The sequence below is a fragment of the Homo sapiens genome, chromosome 1 (genome assembly GCF_000001405.40).
Source record: "Homo sapiens chromosome 1, GRCh38.p14 Primary Assembly".
Classification (NCBI taxonomy): Eukaryota; Metazoa; Chordata; class Mammalia; order Primates; family Hominidae; genus Homo; species Homo sapiens.
The window spans coordinates 166,546,433-166,566,027 of record NC_000001.11 but is presented as its reverse complement, the minus strand read 5'-3'; positions in this window follow the sequence as shown (position 1 = coordinate 166,566,027).

Here is a 19,595-nt window from a genome sequence, read left to right as displayed (position 1 = left end):
AAGGCTCTTAGAGTGACGGAAAAGCCTACCTCACACAACTATTTCTCATTTTCAAGTACAAAGTAGATTGTTTTCAATACAAGTTTTGACTCTTAAAATGCTTCTGGCCATATGACTTCATTTTTACATTTCTTTTTTGATACCTTCCTTCTACCTCATACATTCACATATGCACACACACACACACACACACAACCCATGAAAAACCTCTCCATACACAGATTTTGCCCAAACTGAGTCTGCATTCCTTCCAATACTACTATCTGCTTGTTGAAACACTCATGTTGGGTATTTTTGTACAGTTTATTTAGGCCAGGGAATCCCTATATTTTCCCCCATGACATAGGGTCTGAAGTGCGAGGTAGGGGAGGAGGAAACCCCAACAAATCATTTCATCAAGCATCACTCATTACACTCTGCATGAGGCACAGTGTAAGCCACATAAGTGGTTTTTAGAACAGTTATCTAACTGCCTTCATGCAAGAGATTAATATTCTGCTAGTCATTTAATTTAATAAATATTTATTGGGTGCCCGTTATGTGCCAGACACTGCTTCAATGGGGAGATACAGCAGTGAAAAACTCAGATATGGTTCCTTAAAAACATCCTAATGGGGTAGAAAGACTAAACAAATAAGCAAATAAAGAATAAGCCAGATGATGATATGTACTATGGAGAAAGATGGAGCAGGGTAAGGGCTATGGGGAATACGGAAGGGAGGGTATTATTTTATATAATATGTTAGAGAATACTCGCTGATGTCATTTAAGCAGGAAGGGACCAAGCTATGTGGGTATCTGAAAGGGAATTCCAAGCACAGACTCTGAGGCAGGTACATACTGGAATTTTTTTTTTTTTTTTTTTTTGAGATGGAGAGTCGCTCTGTCGCCAGGCTGGAGTGCAGTGGCACAATCTCGGCTCACTGCAAGCTCTGCCTTCCGAGTTCAAGCGATTCTCCTGCCTCAGCTTCCCAAGTAGCTGGGACTACAGGTGCGCACCACCACGCCCAGCTAATTTTCGTATTTTTAGTAGAGACGGGGTTTCACCATGTTGACCAGGATGGTCTCCATCTCTTGAACTCGTGATCCGCCCACCGTGGCCTCCAAAGTGCTGGGATTACAGGAGTGAGCCACTGCGCCCAGCTGGACTTTTTTTTTTCTTTTCTTTTCTTTTTTTTTTTTTTTAAGAAAAGCAAGGGAAGCTTTGGGAATGGGTATGAAAAAAGTATAAAGGATATAAGATGAAGTCAGAAAGGCAGAATCAGGTATTAGTAGCAGAGTCAGATCAGGGAGTGCAGTTTTTTTAAAAGGATGAAGCAAAGAAAATGTATGGACTCTACAGTATCGACAGGTATTCAGAAATGCCACTTACCTGTAAGTATCTCTGGGGACACTACTTTTCTCTGTATTCTATCTACTCTGCAAGGGTGTGTTTCACCATCCACCACTCAGCTGAACCAGAAGGTAATACACTTTTCTTAAGCTAATGTCTCCTTAATTTATCATCCGATGATTGTCTCCCTATATCTTTGCTCTCTGCCCTGAATTGAAAGAGAAACTGAGTAGAATTCTGTACTGCACTTTAACAAGTTTGTGCTATAGTGGATTACCACAGCTATTAAAATATGAGACTATTTTTAGATCTAGAGTCCCTTGGTAAGTTTCTTTAACTTAAGGCTTTTTAGCATAACCTTGTACCATTGATACATTGCTACTTGAAAGTGTATCCAGAGGCTAATAAGCAAAGAGTTTAACTAATACAACAGCAAATAATACCAAAATAATCCCTCCTGAGTATACCTGTTGATGCAGAGGTCTTCCAAGTATTCGGGATTGTAATGTCAGCTAACACTTGGAACACACAGTAGCAGAATAACTCTATATTAACAAGGCAAATGAAATCACAGAAACACATGAATAAAGAATATTGCAATTAATAATTTGAAAAGTAGACCGATATAGTCAGTGTCTATTTTAAAATGCCATTTGGATATATACTTTTGTTTGAGAAATCAGCTTTCGAATATCAAAAATGTGTTGTCAAATGCTTTTCTTTAGGGTTTTGAATTCCTTGGCTGGTGAAATAGAAAAGCTATTAACACAATTCACATTTTTATAATCTATATGTGTCATTGATCACTCATATCCTCTTGCTCCTTCAGAAGTTCCCCTTAAACTTCAGTCTGCAATCAACTCCGTCCCTTTATCACCTTATCTGAAACAAACCCAAATGAAATCCCCGTGGGCCAAATCCCTCTCCGTACTTGCAGCAGACATTGTCCCCCAACCCGTCTTCTGCCCTGCTGGAAATACTTAAGAGTTGTTCTTTCAATGAATTCTTGATCCCTTGTGAATATTTCATACTAATTAGCCTTTTTCTTTTGACTGCATATATAAAACACAAATATATTTCCCTAGTCATGCAATTATATGGTATAAATGAAAAATTCAAAATACCATTAAGCCTTAAAGTCTTCGAGGAAATAAAAGTCACAAAACTAACCTGTATCAGAAGAAAAGAAAAATCAAATTTGCTCTAGATGTCTCCAGGCACTGTAGTAAAGAAACAGGTTCCAGAATGCTTGTCATCTATGGAGAATATGTGTTTCTTCTTTACTCTTTCCTATGCGAGGTGGCCCACTAAGGTGAGTTTTATGTGATGACTAATTTGCAAAAACTCCTTCCCAAGTCTCTTTCCTTCCCCTTTGGCTTTTTAAGGTGGGATTCAGAAAAAGAAACTGCCATGTTGTAAAATTTTTTTAAACAAAGTAATTGTGTTGATCTCATGAAGTCTAATCAAATCACAGGTATGAAGAAGCCTGGAAGGAACTCCATTAATACAGTGTACTGCTTGGGAATTGATCTATAGTGAAACTTGGAGAAATTTGGGGAAACATTTCAGTTCCTAGGATGGTAATGAATGTTCATGCATTTCAATTGATAAAGCATTATCACCGATGCTGGATAGGGAATGGGAGACAATGACCAAAAACATCCTCATGTAACTTTGTATATTTCTATTTCTTTATGGCTTGAGTCAAAGGCATTTGAAGAAATGCTATTCAGATCTTCAATATAACATTTCCTAGAATAATGAGATAGATTTTTATTTTTATAAAAAATGTTTGAAGATATTCTTTTCTTTTTTTTTTGCTAATTACATTAGCAAAAAAGAGTTTATATTAGCAAATATTAGTAAATATTCCATTTTCTTGTTAATCAGCAATTCTTTGAATACCAGTGAATCTAAACTCTATTCATATATTTTTAGTCCATTTATATTTCTTCTTTGGCAAATTTAATGAATATACTTTCTATATTTTTCTATCTTTTTTCTTTTAAGATTTAAAAATTATTATCAATAGAAACCATTTTTTCCTCACATATTTTTCCAAAATTTTCTCCCATTTGTTATTAGCTTTTAAAAATTGCAGATTTGTCTTTTATTTTATTTTATTTTCTATGAAGTAAAATGTAGTTTTCTGTATACTTATTGGCTATTGTGTCATGCTCATAGTCTTCCCTATCTCAAGATTATAAAATTATTCTTCTACGGTTGTTTTTTTTCTTATGGGTTTAGGTTTTTATTTAACTGTTTGTTATTTTCACAGTTTGATTGTGACATATGGTGTGAAGTAATACTCTAATGTGATTTTTTTTTTTTTTTTTTTTTTGGTGCTAGATCACCATGTGTCTCTGTCTATTATACAGATGAAGCCATCTTTCCCTACCATATTGAAAAAATGCCAACTTACAGTATTTTCAGTACTTATGTGCTTGGGCTGTATTGCGGATCTTTATCTTCTGCTCCACTAATGCTTCTTTATATTCAGATATCAAAACCACACTATTTAATTATTGTAGCTTTTAAGGATTGTCGAAATTTCCCTTGAATAGCCTCCAATTATTACTCTTCTTTTTCAATAGAGCCTGTTAAGATAATCTTTTGCTTGACTTTTCTATCAAATTTATTCTTATAGATGAAATTAGGAGTATTTTCACAGTTCCAAAAAATAAAATTTTATTAAATCCATCAATTAATTATGGGTTAATTACATCTTTATAACAAAGAACGACTCCATTTATTCACTTTTTTGGTATCTTATGGTGAAATTTTCTTCACATGGGCTCACAATTTTTGTTGTTAATTTCTAGTTACATATTTTATTATTATTGGCAATGTTATTTTTTCCACTATATTTTCCAAATTATTATTATTGGCATATTAGTTAGTTAATAGTTGTATATATTTTATTTACATATATGTTATATGGAAAACTATATAGTTATACTTTTAATAGTTCATACACAATGTAATTTCAGTCATTTGCTAAACCTTCATTCATTCTAAATATTTCATGGATTCTCATATCAGTCCAAGTAAAGAATCAAAGAACCAAAATGATAACATAATATAGCTTCTCCCTTTCTTATAAATATTCCAATATTTTTCTTCTCATTTACTGAGTTGTCTTGTATTTTCAGAACAATTTCCAATACAAGTGGTGACTGCAGTTGTTCTTTTGGTGTGTCATCCTTGAATATGATGCTGGCTCTTGTTTTGAGGAGCATATTCTATATCACATTAAAGAAATATTCTTATCTTTCTAGATAGCTTTGTATGCATGTATGCTTGTGTGTATGTGTGTGTGTAATCAGAAAATACTATTGATTTATTGACTGCATGCTTGAAATCTATTAAGATAATAATATGGTTTCCTCATTTCATATATTTCTGTGATGGATGATATTAGCAGATTTTCTATTTGAACTATATTTATATTTCTACATTAAAGCTTTCTTGGTGGTGATATGTATAAAGGTTGGATTCTATTTCTTAAAATTTTGTTTAGAGCTTTTACATTTAAAATTATAACTAAGATTATTGTACCTAAGATTGGTTTGCTGCTTAATTTTTTGCACCATGTCAAAGTTATGCTATCTTTGCTATCAGGTTTATGAAGAAGTTGCCCTATTTACTTTATACTCTGGACAATGTACATAATATGGTAATTATTCGTATATGGAAGGCTAACACCAATTTGCTAGGCAACCATGTGAGGACAGTTTTTTTTTCTTGGAGATAATTTTTATTTATTAAACACTTCATTTTATAGGCTTTATATGTTTATGCATGTCAATTTATTATTTTCTTTTGAAGATTATTCATTTATATGAGTTTGAAACATTTTAATCTAGCATTATATATTAAACTAATATTACATCGTAAATTTTTTATCTGTATCAAAAAGACAATCCCTTTGTTCTTTATTAATTTTGTATATTGTGCATTCTATTTTAGATTAATAGCAGAGCTAGTTCAACCAGTCCTCAGCAGCTTGCACCAGGAGATAAATCAATGCACTGCTTCAAGAAAGACTTACAAAAGCAAAAAGTTAGTGAACGTCGACAGTGTGTTTAGTGACTTAGTCAATTTACATTCTTGCATAAACTTCTTGTCTTACAGTATATAAATAACAATTAATTTGAGAATACAGGCTACACTGAGCTTAAGCCATATTAATAACCTAGAGTCTTGTTTATTTTACTTACTTTATGCTCGCTAAAGAATCAGCTCTTAGATTCATTTATCAAGCCTACAATTTTTGGTTTATAAATTCATTAATTTCTACTTTTATTTTTTATCCTTTCCTTAGGTTAGATTTCTTGTTTCTTGAGTTTTTATTCATATTATTTATTATCCTTTATTCTTTTTTTATGATTGTAAGTATTCCTCTAATTACTAATTTGGTCAAGTCTCATTGTAAGTTTTTAAGGTACAGTGTTCTCATGCTCATTATACTCTAAATTCCCTGTAGTTACAGTTAAGATTTTTCTCCTTTGGTTTGAATTACTTGCCAGCGTTTTCTTTCAAATTATGTCTTGTTTTATTTTGTTTTACTTTTGCTATTAATTTCTAATTATTCTTATGTAATTGTCAAAATTGCCTGAATAATTTTAATTTACTGATATTTATTGAGACTTTCTTTAAAGCATAACACATTATCAATTTTATATACATATATCATGAATTCTGGAAAAGAAGGTACTTTTTCTAGGGTATTAGTTTCAGTATATATTTATTTTCAGTGTTATTTAATTTTCTATTATCTGTTAAGAACTAAAATAGCTCTTGTGGTGTTAGGCTAATACTTTATTTCTATCAATATCTGTTTTAAATTTCAGTCAAATTTACCCTCATATATCTTGATTTTATTATTCAGTAGACAGTTCTGACTGACATATCTCCACTGTGGAGTAAAGTCTTTACTAACATAGAATGATTTGTAAATGATTAAACTTTTTTTGCCTATATTCTACTTTGCTTATTTTCTGAAATTTATTTTGTTTACATTCACTCATGTATTTTGCCCAAGCCTTTTATTGTACCTTTCCTGAGTCATTTTATTATAGTATATCTCCTGTAAACAATATATAGCTAGATTTTTTAAAAATATGTTTCCTTTAAATATTTCACAAGTTAAGAAAAAATAGGATCAATAATTCTTGATTGACTTTTGCAACTAGGCAAGATGAATTGGTTAGCACGATGACACTTCTCAATACCTTTCCCTCCAATCTCTTAGTATTTGTTGGTATTTGGGATTTTACACTTTTAAAAAATAAATTATATGTATTTTACATAATCGTCTCAAAATTATTGTTAATACCATTTGCATACTATTTGAGACTGGATTTAGAACAATTAAAATAAAAATATTTGAATTGTTTCACTGTTTACTATTATTTTATCTACATCTGAAGCATAATTAGTTGATATTGGTAGTAATTGATAGTTTAGTATTGTTTTATTATTAGTTTTAAGTTTAGTTTTAGTAAAAATAGCTTACTAAAGAGTACACTACTTAGTTTATTACTTACTAATACATAGTATTAGTGTACCAGAATTTTCTGTTTTTTATTCTTTATTTTGGCTGATATATACTTTAAAATCAGTTTTGTTTTCATTGAAGTAGCACCCATACTAAAATGCTAAAAATATACTTGTGTAGTACAATGGATTATCACAAAACAAATGTCCTTATAATTACTACCTAGGTTAAGGAATAAATTATTTTCAGATCTTAGAAGTTCCTTTCTTGCCCCTGGCAGGTACTACCCCCTTCTTTTGCTCCAACAGTGACCACATGTTAATCTCTATAACTATAGCCTAGTTTGACAGATTTTGAACTTTTAGCAAATGGAATTAAGTAGTATGTTTTATTTTATGTGTGGCTTCTTTCATTCAAAATTTATGTTTTGAGGTATAAAACTATAGGTAATTTGTTTTTACTGCTTCACAGTATTCCAATGTGTAAATATGCCACAATGTGTTATACATTCTACTGTTTGAGTTGCTTCCAGTTTGTAGCACCTATGATAAATGCTGCCATAAATATTATTTTATACGTCTCTGGGTACATGTGGGCAAGCATTCCTGATTAATATGCACCTCTATGTATATTTCTTTGTACTTTCTTGATTTATTTTGAACTGCAAAGATTTAAAATTTTTATTCAGTCTAATTTTTATTTTTATTTTTTATTTTACTGCTTATGTTACTAGTGGGTGTGCAGCTTCTTGGCATTTTGGACAAAGAATGGGACAACACACACAAACAAAGCAAAGGAAGAATGAAGCCACAAAAGCAGAGACATATTGAAAACAGAAGCACGCTCCAGAGGGTGGGAGTGGCCCAAGCAAGCAGCTCAAGGGCCCGGTTGCAGAATTTTCTGGGGTTTAATTACCCTCCAGAGGTTTCCATTGGTTACTTGCTGTATGCCATATGTAGATGAAGAGGCTAAAATGAAGTTACAAAGTCATTTACTTGGTGTATGCCCTGTGTAAAAGAAGAGGATATTTCCTGTCATAGCTGAAGTGTTTTTGTTTGATTTAGTTCTAGGAAGTCCTTAGGTTCTCTGCCTCCAGGCCCTATTCTCCTGCCTCATTTCCCCCTTGAAAGTAGTGATCCCCATAAATCTTTATGGGAGGCAGAGGCATAGATGGTCTTCTGTACTGCTTCATGCTGCCTTGGAGCATAGTCCCTACCTACTGGGGATCACAGAACCCTTGCCCTGCTTTGTCTAGTGGAGGCAGGGTAGCTCCTTGATAACCAGTGGTGGTGTCTTCACCTGGAGCTGGCCGGAACCCTTGTCGCATGATCATCTGAAGATTTATTGTCTCTAGGCAAGAGGAAATGAATTTGGTTACAAGATTTAATGGAAACTTCAGGAGATAGATACCTATGCTGTCAGGAATGTTTGTTATAGAGATTTGCAGGAGAAAAACAAAACTTGGTCTGTTCTAGGTTCTATGTGTTTCCTTAAAGTCTCAGCATAAGCGACTCCATTTTGGTTTGGTTTGGTCTGTTGGGGCCTAGTGCATGAGCTCAGTCCAAAACAATGGCCTCTCATAATTTTGTTTAAAAAAATTCTCCCTTTTTGGTCAGGTGCTCACTTAGGTGAGAGTGCAACCAAAACTTAGGGCCTTAGCTCCACTCTCAGTTATCATCATTTTGGGTTTCTGGTCTCAGCATGTCATTCATAGGTTACAGTGTTCTCATGGTCGCACATTTCTTTCAGCTCTTGTTATTCCAGTTGAATAGAGACCATTTGACATTCTAGAGATGGCTGCATGCAAACATTTAAAACCTTTGAGAGAATACAGCATGCCAGGGAGCCTATTATTATTACTATCAGGATGAGTGTTCCCATAAACCAAAATACCTAAAATCAAATAGATCAAAGGGTGACCTAGATAAAGAGTGTACTCACTTAACTAAAGAGTCTCCGCATTAATCCCCTACAACTGAATTTCTATAATCTTCATTTGATATATTTATCTGTAGGCCACAAGTGCCAGCAGTTGTACAAATACTTCTCTGTTCAGCCAATTCTATCATAACTTTCACAAAATAATTTAAAGTCTGTTGTGTAACTATAGCCTTTATAGTAGAATCTGGTATACAGCCTATCATGAGGGACACATTTCTAATAATTACTTCTTTTTCTCCAAACTGTGGAGCATATACACAGACATATTAGAATTTTAGAAATCCCATACAATTTTGGAACATATATTAATATCATTCACTAAAATATAACCTGAAGATAATTAAATATTATTTTTTATTTTGACAGTACTTCCCATGTAACTAAACATGTCAAATAATCCTATTTACCTCTCTTTTCAATGCTTCAGGGGCCCTCTGTAGCACTGCAAAGTTAGAGATCAGAAAAGTCTATTTTAAAGCTGAAATTTGATTGTGGGAAGCCTATTAAATATGTTAAAGATTTACAAGAATTTACATTCCCATGACTTCTTATAATCTTTTACCAATCATTCAACTGGTTTGCTCAGAGAGAGAGGGGCCAGAAGTCCGACTGGTAAGAATTCTTACCCTATTGCCGGCATGTCAGGTTTCTGGGTTCCTGTCCCTTAGCAGCCCTTGCAACTCTGCTCAACTGTATGCAAACAAACACATTGCCATGAATTAAGAATATTCACAAATAGTTTACAAATTTTGGAGAAATTAGGTAGAGAGAGAAATATGACTCAAATTCTTTTTATGAAAGTATACTCAACACATGTAAAGTATCAGGAATCCTAATTTCCAAAAATTTAGCTTAAGGTTAGAAAGTTGATGTGCTCCATCAATTTCTGCAGGCCTGACAAAAGTAGTCTAGGAATTCAAGATAAATGAAACAAATAGTGACTTGCTAGATATGCATAGGAAACAAAATGGCTATTAATAGAACTAAATAAAAGCCTTCCACTGGAAACTAAAAAAAATTAGGGCTTTATATATATGCATATGTAAGCAAAACTCAGGATAGTAAACAGCAAACAAATGAAAATTAGAAGCACAGACAAACAGGAAACCAACCCTAAATTTTTTCTACTCAATCTATCCTGGAGGCTACAGTGTAACCCAGGGCCCCACAAAACACACATAATGAATATTTTATTCCTGATACACAATTCAATATCCTTAAGTCAACCAATATCACCATACATCCTGTGCAATCAAGAAATTCACTCTAGGCATATGCCCAATAAGTACTCCAGTGCCAGCACTATCCACGCAAAATAGTAAACATAGTGTAAAGCAACGCAAGTATGTATGTGAAATTTGGCTCCACACTAAATCAGGTTTCATGTTTAACTATATTTAAAAAATAATTTCCAAACTGCCAACAATATTTCTTATTTTGCTTTAATCAAAACTAAGAACTTTATGAAAATGTTAATTAGCCAAATGTCTCCAATTCTCTATCGGGTTTTAAATAATATTTTATTATTTAAACTTTTTTTTTCACATGTTTCTCCCCTCCTTACTGGTTCCTTACTACATTGTTTCATAAACAACCTTTGTAAATTTGTAATTTGAACTAACTTTTAGATAACTTCTGAATTAGACAAAATTATTCTTTTTTTTTCACAAATAAAAGAATGCTTTCTGGCACATTTTGTCTACAGAATTATGTGTTAACTAGAATTCTTATTCTTAGTAACCTAAAACTTTAGTGAAACCCAAAAAGCAAGAAATCTTGAACTCTCAGATATGAACATTTATAGATAAGAATAATTCCAAAATTTCAGAAATGCATTTCCCCATATCACAACCCTTTCTGAATTGGAAATGACCCAGATATTCCATGGGCATCAAAAATAATTTTAGGATTTTAATTTACACAAAAAGTTTACCGAAAACATTTATCCCATTTACACGTACTCAGTTCTTTCATTTTTGTAACAGTTTATGTAGATTACTTCTGTAAACTGAGACATTAGACACTACCGTTTAAAGTTAGTCATTTCCTTGTTAACCATGTTTTTGTTTTTGTTTTTTTTTGAGACGGAGTCTCACTCTGTTGCCCAGGCTGGAGTGCAGTGGTGCGATCTTGGCTCACTGCAAGCTCCACCTCCCAGGTTCATGCCATTCTCCTGCCTCAGCTTCCAGAGTAGCTGGGACTACAGGCGCCCGCCACCCACCACGCCCAGCTATTTTTTTGTATTTTTAGTAGAGACGCAGGTTCACCGTGTTAGCCAGGATGGTCTCGATCTCCTGACCTTATGATCCGCCCACCTCGGCCTCCCAAAGTGCTGAGATTACAGGCATGAGCCACTGTGCCCAGCTGTTAACCATGTTTTTAATAGCCAGTGAACATTAGGTACTCCCCTCAACCTAAGTAAGAGTCTCAATGTTAAATACATAGGTAATTTTGCCAATAACTCGGACGATTTAGCTAATATTAAATTACTCTCGTTTGTCAAAAAAAGGCATGCAAACCAAGATCATTTTGTTTTGGCTGGGTTTTTAGTTTTATAACTTTCTATGCCAAACCCTGATGCCTCAAAATATCTAGCAGAGATAAATATAAATTCCAGACAAAAATGTATGCTGGCAATTCTGAAGGCATTTCTATTTTTATTTTACAAATAATTTTAAAACCAGCTTGTTTAGTAAAGCTAAACTTGTCACATGAACTTGAAAATTGCTTAGAATTATTTACTTAATTTATGAGCACTCCTTTACTTGTAAGCCAATTTGGTAGACACAACATATAACAACAAGTGTACATAACAAATAAACTTATCTAGACATGTATACACTCACAGGCACATGAAGATCCAATGGCTTTTATGCTGAAACCATAGTCATGAGCTAGCAATACATGCTCACCTGTTTTACTTTGTTTGCCCCAATAGATAATCCAATGAAGGCTGTGAACCAAAATTTCAGGTAAAGCTGTTTTCATGGCAGTTTGATTTTTAAAGGCAAACCCTCCCCAGATTCCATAGAATACTGGGGCCAAACAGCACCAAAGGAGAACATCACATATGAACCAGGCCTGACCCTGCTTAAAACAGCAACACCAAAGCCTGGATACATGCAACTTCATCTCACTTTCCCATTTAACAGCAAACTCTAGATTCCAAACAGTATTGGGGCCAAACCATATTGCAACTGTGAGAGAAAATTCTAAGGAGGGCTTAGTAGTAGGCCTTAGAACCTCTGCTGAAGTGCCCCCATTGGAGATGTTAAGGTCCAGAGGATCCCCTGGGGCATCCCCCAATGGAATCCAATCTTAGAGTGTCAGACATCTGGGACTTTAGGGGGCATTGGTGCCACTTTGCATGTTTTCCCTCCAGAGGTGACGACCTACTATGAGCTTCCCTTTTGTCCCTAGATGAAGGCTTCAACTTCCAGCACCCTTATAATTTGATTAGGCCATGCTTTTCCATGCTTCCCATTCCACTAGATAGCAACTGGAGGCTGGGTGGGTTTCTTTTGTCCTTAGCCAGTTGGATGGGGTAAGGGAATAATTTAGCATAAGAAAAGAAGGTTCAAGTTGCCTGAAACACCTGGGGGTTCACCCTGGAGGAACTGCGCCACACATAGGTATTAGGGACTGCAACTGGAATAGATAGAAAAGAGACCTTCCCCCTTTCAGGTGGGGCAACTATCCCCATTCAGGCAACACTAAAGAGTGGCCCTGGCCAGAAACCTGAAGTTGCTTCAGTGTTTAGGTAATGTCTACCAAGGGTCCTGAGTTGGTAAGGAAAAGAGAGAGAGAGAGAGAGAGAGAGAGAGAGAGAGAGAGATTGATTCCCCCATGTGGAGCAGAAAGAAAAAGGAAAGAAATAAACCCCAAACTTTGGGCTTACCTCCTGGCTGGCTTGCCAAAATATGTTACCAGTGGAAGTTGTGCAGTTTTCTTGGGGTTTTGAACAAAGAATTGGACAAAATGCACAAATAAAGCAAAGAAAGCATGAAGCAACAAAAGCAGAGATTTACTGAAAACAGAAGCACACTGCACAGGGTGGGAGCAGGCCCAAGCAAGAAGCTTAAGCGTCCAGTTACAGAATTTTCTGAGGTTTAAATACCTTCTGGAGGTTTCCACTGGTTCCTTGGTGTATGCCCTATGTAAATGAAGAGGCTAAAGTGAAGTTACAAAGTCATTTACTAGATGTACACCCTATGTAAATAAAGAGGATGAAGTAAATTTACAAAGTCATTTACTCAGTGTATGCCCTATGTAAATGAAGAAGATAATTCCTGTCATTGCTGAAGTGTTTCCATTTGATTTAATTCTAGGAAGTCCTTAGGTTTCCTGACTCCAGGCCCTGTTCTCTTGCCTCGTTTATATGGTTGCTGTCATATCTAAGAAATGATTGCCCAACCCAAGACATGAAGATTTACTCCTACTGGTATGGCTGCTATAATTTCTTTTTTATCCCATTGGCTATTTGGGAGTATGTAGGGTTTCCCAGGCAAGATGGCCAAATAGGAACAGCTCCAGTCTGCAGCTCCCAGCAAGCACCTGGGAAGCACAAGGGTTGGGGCACTCCCTCCCCTAACCAAGGAAAGCTGGGAGGGGCTGTGCCATGAGGGACAGTGCTATCTGGGCCAGATACTACACTTTTCCCATGGTATTCACAACCGGCAGACCAGGAGATTCCCTCCGGTGCCTACACCACCAGGACCCTGGGTTTCAAGCACAAAACCGGGCGGCCATTTGGCCAGACACTGAGCTAGCTGCAGGAGTTTTTTTCATGCCCCAGTGGCACCTGGTACCCCAGTAAGATAGAACTCTTCACTCCCCTGGAAAAAGGGCTGAAGCCAGGGAGCCAAATGGATTTGCTCAGCAGATCCCACCCTCACAGAGCCCAACAAGCTAAGATCTACTGGCTTGAAATTCTCACTGCCAGCACAGCAGTCTGAAGTCAACCTGGGATGCTCGAGCTTGGTGTGGGGAGGGGCGTCCACCATTACTGAGGCTCGAGTAGGTGGTTTTCCCCTCACAGTGTAAACAAAGCCACCAGGAAGTTCGGACTGGGTAAGACCCACCACAGTGCTGCAAAGCTGCTGTAGCCAGACTGCCTCTCTAGATTCCTCCTCACTGGGCAGGGCATCTCTGAAAGAAAGGCAGCAGCCCAAGTCAGGGGCTTTTAGATAAAACTCCCATCTCCCTGGGTCAGAGCACCTGGGGGAAGGGGCAGCTGTGGGTGCAGCTTCAGCAGACTTAAACATTCCTGCCTGCCAGCTCTGAAGAGAGCAGCAAATCTTCCAGCACAGTGCTCGAGCTCTGCTAAAGGCAGAATGCCTACTCTCCTCTCCAGGAGACACCTCCCAGGAGGGATCAACAGACACCGAATACAGGAGAGCTCCTGCTGGCATCTGGCAGGTGCTGCTCTGGGATGAAGCTTCCAGAGGAAGGATCAGGCAGCAATCTTTGCTGATCTGCAGCCTCCACTAGTGGTAACCAGGTAAACAGGGTCTGGAATAGACCTGCATCAAACTCCAGCAGACCTGCAGCAGAGGGGGTTGACTGTTAGAAGGAAAACTAACAAACAGAAAACAATAGCATAAACATCAACAAAAAGGACACCCATGAAAAAATCCTATCTGAAGGCCACCAATATCAAAGACCAAAGGTAGATAAATCCATGAAGATGAGGAAAAAGTAGCACAAAAAGGCTGAAAGTTCCAAAAACCAGAATGCCTCTTCTCCTCCAAAGAATCACAAGTTATAGCCAGCAAGGGAACAAAACTGGACAGAGAATGAGTTTGACAAAATGACAGAAGTAGGCTTCAGAAGGTGGGTAATAACAAACTCTTCTGAGCTAAAGGAGCAGGTTCTAACCCAGTGCAAGGAAGCTAAGAACCTTGATAAAAGGTTACAGGAACTGCTAACTATAATAACCAGTTTAGAGAAGAACATAAATGACCAGATGAAGCTGAAAAACACAGCATGAGTACTTTGTGAAGCATACACAAGTATCAACAGCTGAATCGATCAAGTGGAAGAAAGGATATCAGAGATTGAAGATCAACTTAATGAAATAAAGTGTGAAGACAAGATTAGAGAAAAAAGAATGAAAAGGAACAAACAAAACCTCCAAGAAATATGGGACTATGTGAAAAAAACAAATCTCATTTCATTGGTGTACCTGAAAGTGATGGGAAGAATGGAACCAAGTTGGAAAACACACTTCAGGATATTATCCAGGAGAACTTCCCCAACCTAGCAAGACAGGCCAACATTCCAATTCAGGAAATACAGAGAACACCACAAATATATTCCTTGAGAAGAGCAACCCCAAGACACATAATCATCAGACTCACCAAGGTTAAAATGAAGAAAAAATTGTTAGGGGGAGCCAGAGAGAAAGGTCAGGTTACCCAGAAAGGGAAGCCCATGAGACTAACAGCAGATCTCTCTGCAGAACCCTACAAACCAGAAAAGAGTAAGGGGCAATATTCAACACTCTTAAAGAAAAGAATTTCAACCCAGAACTTCCTATCCAGCCAAACTAAACTTCATAAGCAAAGAAGAAATAAAATTGTTTACAGACAAGCAAATGCTAAGAGATTTTCTCACCATCAGGCCTGCCTTTACAAGAGCTCCTGAAGGAAGCACTAAATATGGAAAGAAAAAACCAGTACCAGCCACTGCAAAAACAAACCAAAATGTAAAAGACCATCAATACTAGGAAGAAACCACATCAACTAATGGGCAAAATAACCAGCTAGCATTATAATGACAGGATCAAATTCACACATACCAATATTAACCTTAAATGTAAATGGCTAAATGCCCCAATTAAAAGCACTGACTGGCAAATTGGATAAAGAGTCAAGACTCATTGGTGTGCTGTATTCAAGAGACCCATCTCACGTTCAAAGACACACATAGGCTCAAAATAAAGGGATGGAGGAAGATTTACCAAACAGATGGAAGGAAAAAAAAAGTAGAGGCTGCAATCTTAGTTTCTGATAAAACAGACTTCAAACCAATGAAGATCAAAAAAGACAAAGAAGAGCATCACATAATGGTAAAGGGATCAATGCAACAAGAAGAGCTAAATATCCTAAATATGTATGGACCCAATATAGGAGCACCTGGATTCATAAAGCAAGTTCTTAGAGACCTACAAAGAGACTTAGACTCCCACACAATAATAGTAGGAGACTTTAAACCCCACTGCCAATATTAGAAAGATCAATGAGACAGAAAATTAACAAGGATATTCAGGACTTGAACTCAGCTCTGGACCAAGCAGACCTAATAGACATCTACAGAACTCTCCACCCATATCAATAGAATATACATTCTTCTCAGCACCACATCACACTTATTCTAAAATTGACCACATAATTTGAAGTAAAACACTCTTCAGCAAATGTTAAGGAATGGAAATCATAACAAACAGTCTCTCAGACCACGGTTCAATCAAATCAGAACTTAAGATTAAGAAACTCACTGAAAACTGCACAACCACATGGAAACAAAGCAACCTGCTCCTGAATGACTACTGGGTAAATAACGAAATTAAGGCAGAAATAAATAAGTTATGTGAAATCAATGAGAACAAAGACACAACATACTAGAATCTCTGGGACACAGCTAAAGCAGTGTTTAGAGGGAAATTTATAGCACTAAATGCTCACAGGAGAAAGCAGGAATTATCTAAAATCAACATCCTAACATCACAATTAAAAGAACTAGAGAAGCAAGAGCAACCAAATTCAAAAGATAGCAGAAGACAAGAAATAACTAAGATCAGAGCAAAACTGAAGGAGATAGAGACAGAAAAACCCCCTTGAAAATACCAATGAATCCAAGAGCTGGTTTTTTGAAAAGATTAACAAAATAGATAGACTGCTAGCCAGACTAATAAAGAAGAAAAGAGAGTAGAATAAAATAGACACAATAAAAAATGATATAGGGGGCCAGGTGTGGTGGTTCATGACTGTAATCCCAGCACTTTGGGAGGCCGAGGCGGGTGGATCACGAGGTCAGGAGATCGAGACCATCCTGGCTAACATGGTGAAACCCCATCTCTACTAAAAATACAAAAAATTAGCCAGATGTTTTGGCGGGTGCCTGTAGTCCCAGCTACTCGGGAAGCTGAGGCAGGAGAATGGCGTGAACCCGGGAGGTGGAGCTTGCAGTGAGCCGAGATCACGCTACTGCACTCCAGCCTAGGCAACAGAGCGAGACTCCATCTCAAAAAAAAAAAAAAATGATAAAGGGGATATCACCACTGATCCCACAGAATACAAACTACCATCAGATAATCCTATAAACACGTCTGTGCAAATAATGTAAAGTAGAAAATCAGAAGAAATGGATAAATTCCAGGACATATACACCCTCCCAAGACTACACCAGGAAGAAGTCGAGTCCCTGAGTAGACCAATAACAAGTTTGAAATTGAGGCAGTAATTAATAGCCTACCAACCAAAAAAAAAAAAAAGTCCAGGACCAGACAGATTGACAGCCAAATTCTACCAGAGATACAAAGAGGAGCGGGTACCATTCCATCTAAAACTATTCCAAACAATAGAAAAAGAGGGAATCCTCCCTAACTCATTTTATGAGGCCAGCATCATCCTGTTGCGGAAATCTGGCAGAGACACAACAAAAAAAGAAAATTTCAGGCCAATATTCCTGATGAACATCGATGAGAAAATCCTCAATAAAATACTGGTAAACCAAATCCAGTTCACATTAAAAAGCTTATCCACCACGATCAAGTCGGCTTCATACCTGGGATGCAAGGCTGGTTCTACATACGCAAATCAATAAATGTAATCCATTACATAAACAGAACCAATGACAAAAACCACATGATTATCTCAATAGATGCAGAAAAGGCCTTCGATAAAATTCAACACCCCTTCATGCTAAAAACACTCAATAAACTAGGTATTGATGGAACATATCACAAAATAATAAGAGCTATTTATGACAAACCCACAGCAAATATCATACAGAATGGGCAAAAGCTGGAAGCATTCCCTTTGAAAATCAGCACAAGACAAGGATGCCCTCTCTCACCACTCCTATTCAACATGGTATGGGAAGTTCTGGCCAGAGCAATTAGGTAAGAGAAAGAAATAAAGAGTATTCAAATAGGAAGAGAGGAAGTCAAATTATCTCTGTTTGCAGATGACATGATTGTATATTTAGAAAATCCCATTTTCTCAGCCCCAAAACTCCTTAAGCTGATAAGCAACTTCAGCAAAGTCTCAGGATACCAAATCAATGTGCAAAAATCACAGGCATTCCTATACACCAATAATAGACAAACACAGAGCCAAATCATGGGTGAACTCCCATTCACAATTGCTACAAAGAGAATAAAATACCTAGGAATACAACTTACAAGGGATGTGAAGGACCTCTTCAAGGTGAACTACAAACCACTGCTCAAATAAATAACAGAAGATGCAAACAAATGGAAAAACATTCCATGCTTATGGATAGGAAGTATCAATATCAGGAAAATATCCATACTGTCCAAAGTAATTTATAAATTCAATGCTATCCCCATCAAGCTACCATTGAATTTCTTCACAGAATTAGAAAAAACTACTCTAAATTTCATATGGAACCAAAAAAGAGCCCATATAGCCAAGACAATCCTAAGCAAAAAGAACAAAGCTGGAGGCATCATGCTACCTGACTTCAAACTATACCACAAGGCTACAGTAACCAAAACAGCATGGTACTGGTACCAAAACAGATATATAGACCAATGGAACAGAACAGAGGCCTCAGAAATAATGCTACACATCTACCACCATCTGATCTTTGACAAACCTGACAATAACAAGCAATGGGAAAAGGATTCCCCATTTAATAAATAGTGTTGGGAAAACTGGCTAACCGTATGCAGAAAACTGAAACTGGACTCTTTCCCTTACACTTTACACAAAAATTAACTCAAGAAAGATTAAAGATTGAAACATAAGAGCTAAAACCATAAAAACCCTAGAAGAAAACCTAGGCAATACCATTCAGGACATAGGCATGGGCAAAGACTTCATGAGTAAAACACCAAAAGCAATGGCAACAAAAGCCATAATAGACAAATGGGATCTGATTAAACTAAAGAGCTTCTGCTCAGCAAAAGAAACTATCATCAGAATGAACAGACAACCTACAGAATGGGAGAAAATTTTTGCAATCTATCTATCTGACGAAGGGCTAATATCCAGAATCTACAAGGAACTTAAACAAATTAACAGGAAAAAAACAAACAACCCCACTAAAAATTGGGGGAAGGAAATGAACAGACACTTCTCAAAAGAGGACATCTATGCAGCCAACAAACATATGAAAAAAAGCTCATCATCACTGGTCATTAGAGAAATGCAAATCAAAACCACAATGAGATACCATCTCGCATCAGTTAGAATGGCGATCATTAAAAAGTCAGGAAACAACAGATGCTGGAGAGGATGTGGAGAAATAGGAACACTTTTACACTGTTGGTGCGAGGGTAAGTTAGTTCAACCATTGTGGAGACAGTGTGGTGATTCCTCAAGGATCTAGAACCAGAAATACCACTTGACCCAGCAGTCCCATTACTGGGTATATACCGAAATGATTATAAGTTATTCTACTATCTTTATAGTAGAATAAACACATGCACACATATGTTTATTTCAGCACTATTCACAACAGCAAAGATGTGGAACCAACCCAAATGCCCATCAATGATAGACTGAATAATGAAAATGTAGCACATATATACCATGGAATACTATGCAGCCATAAAAAAGAATGAATTCATAT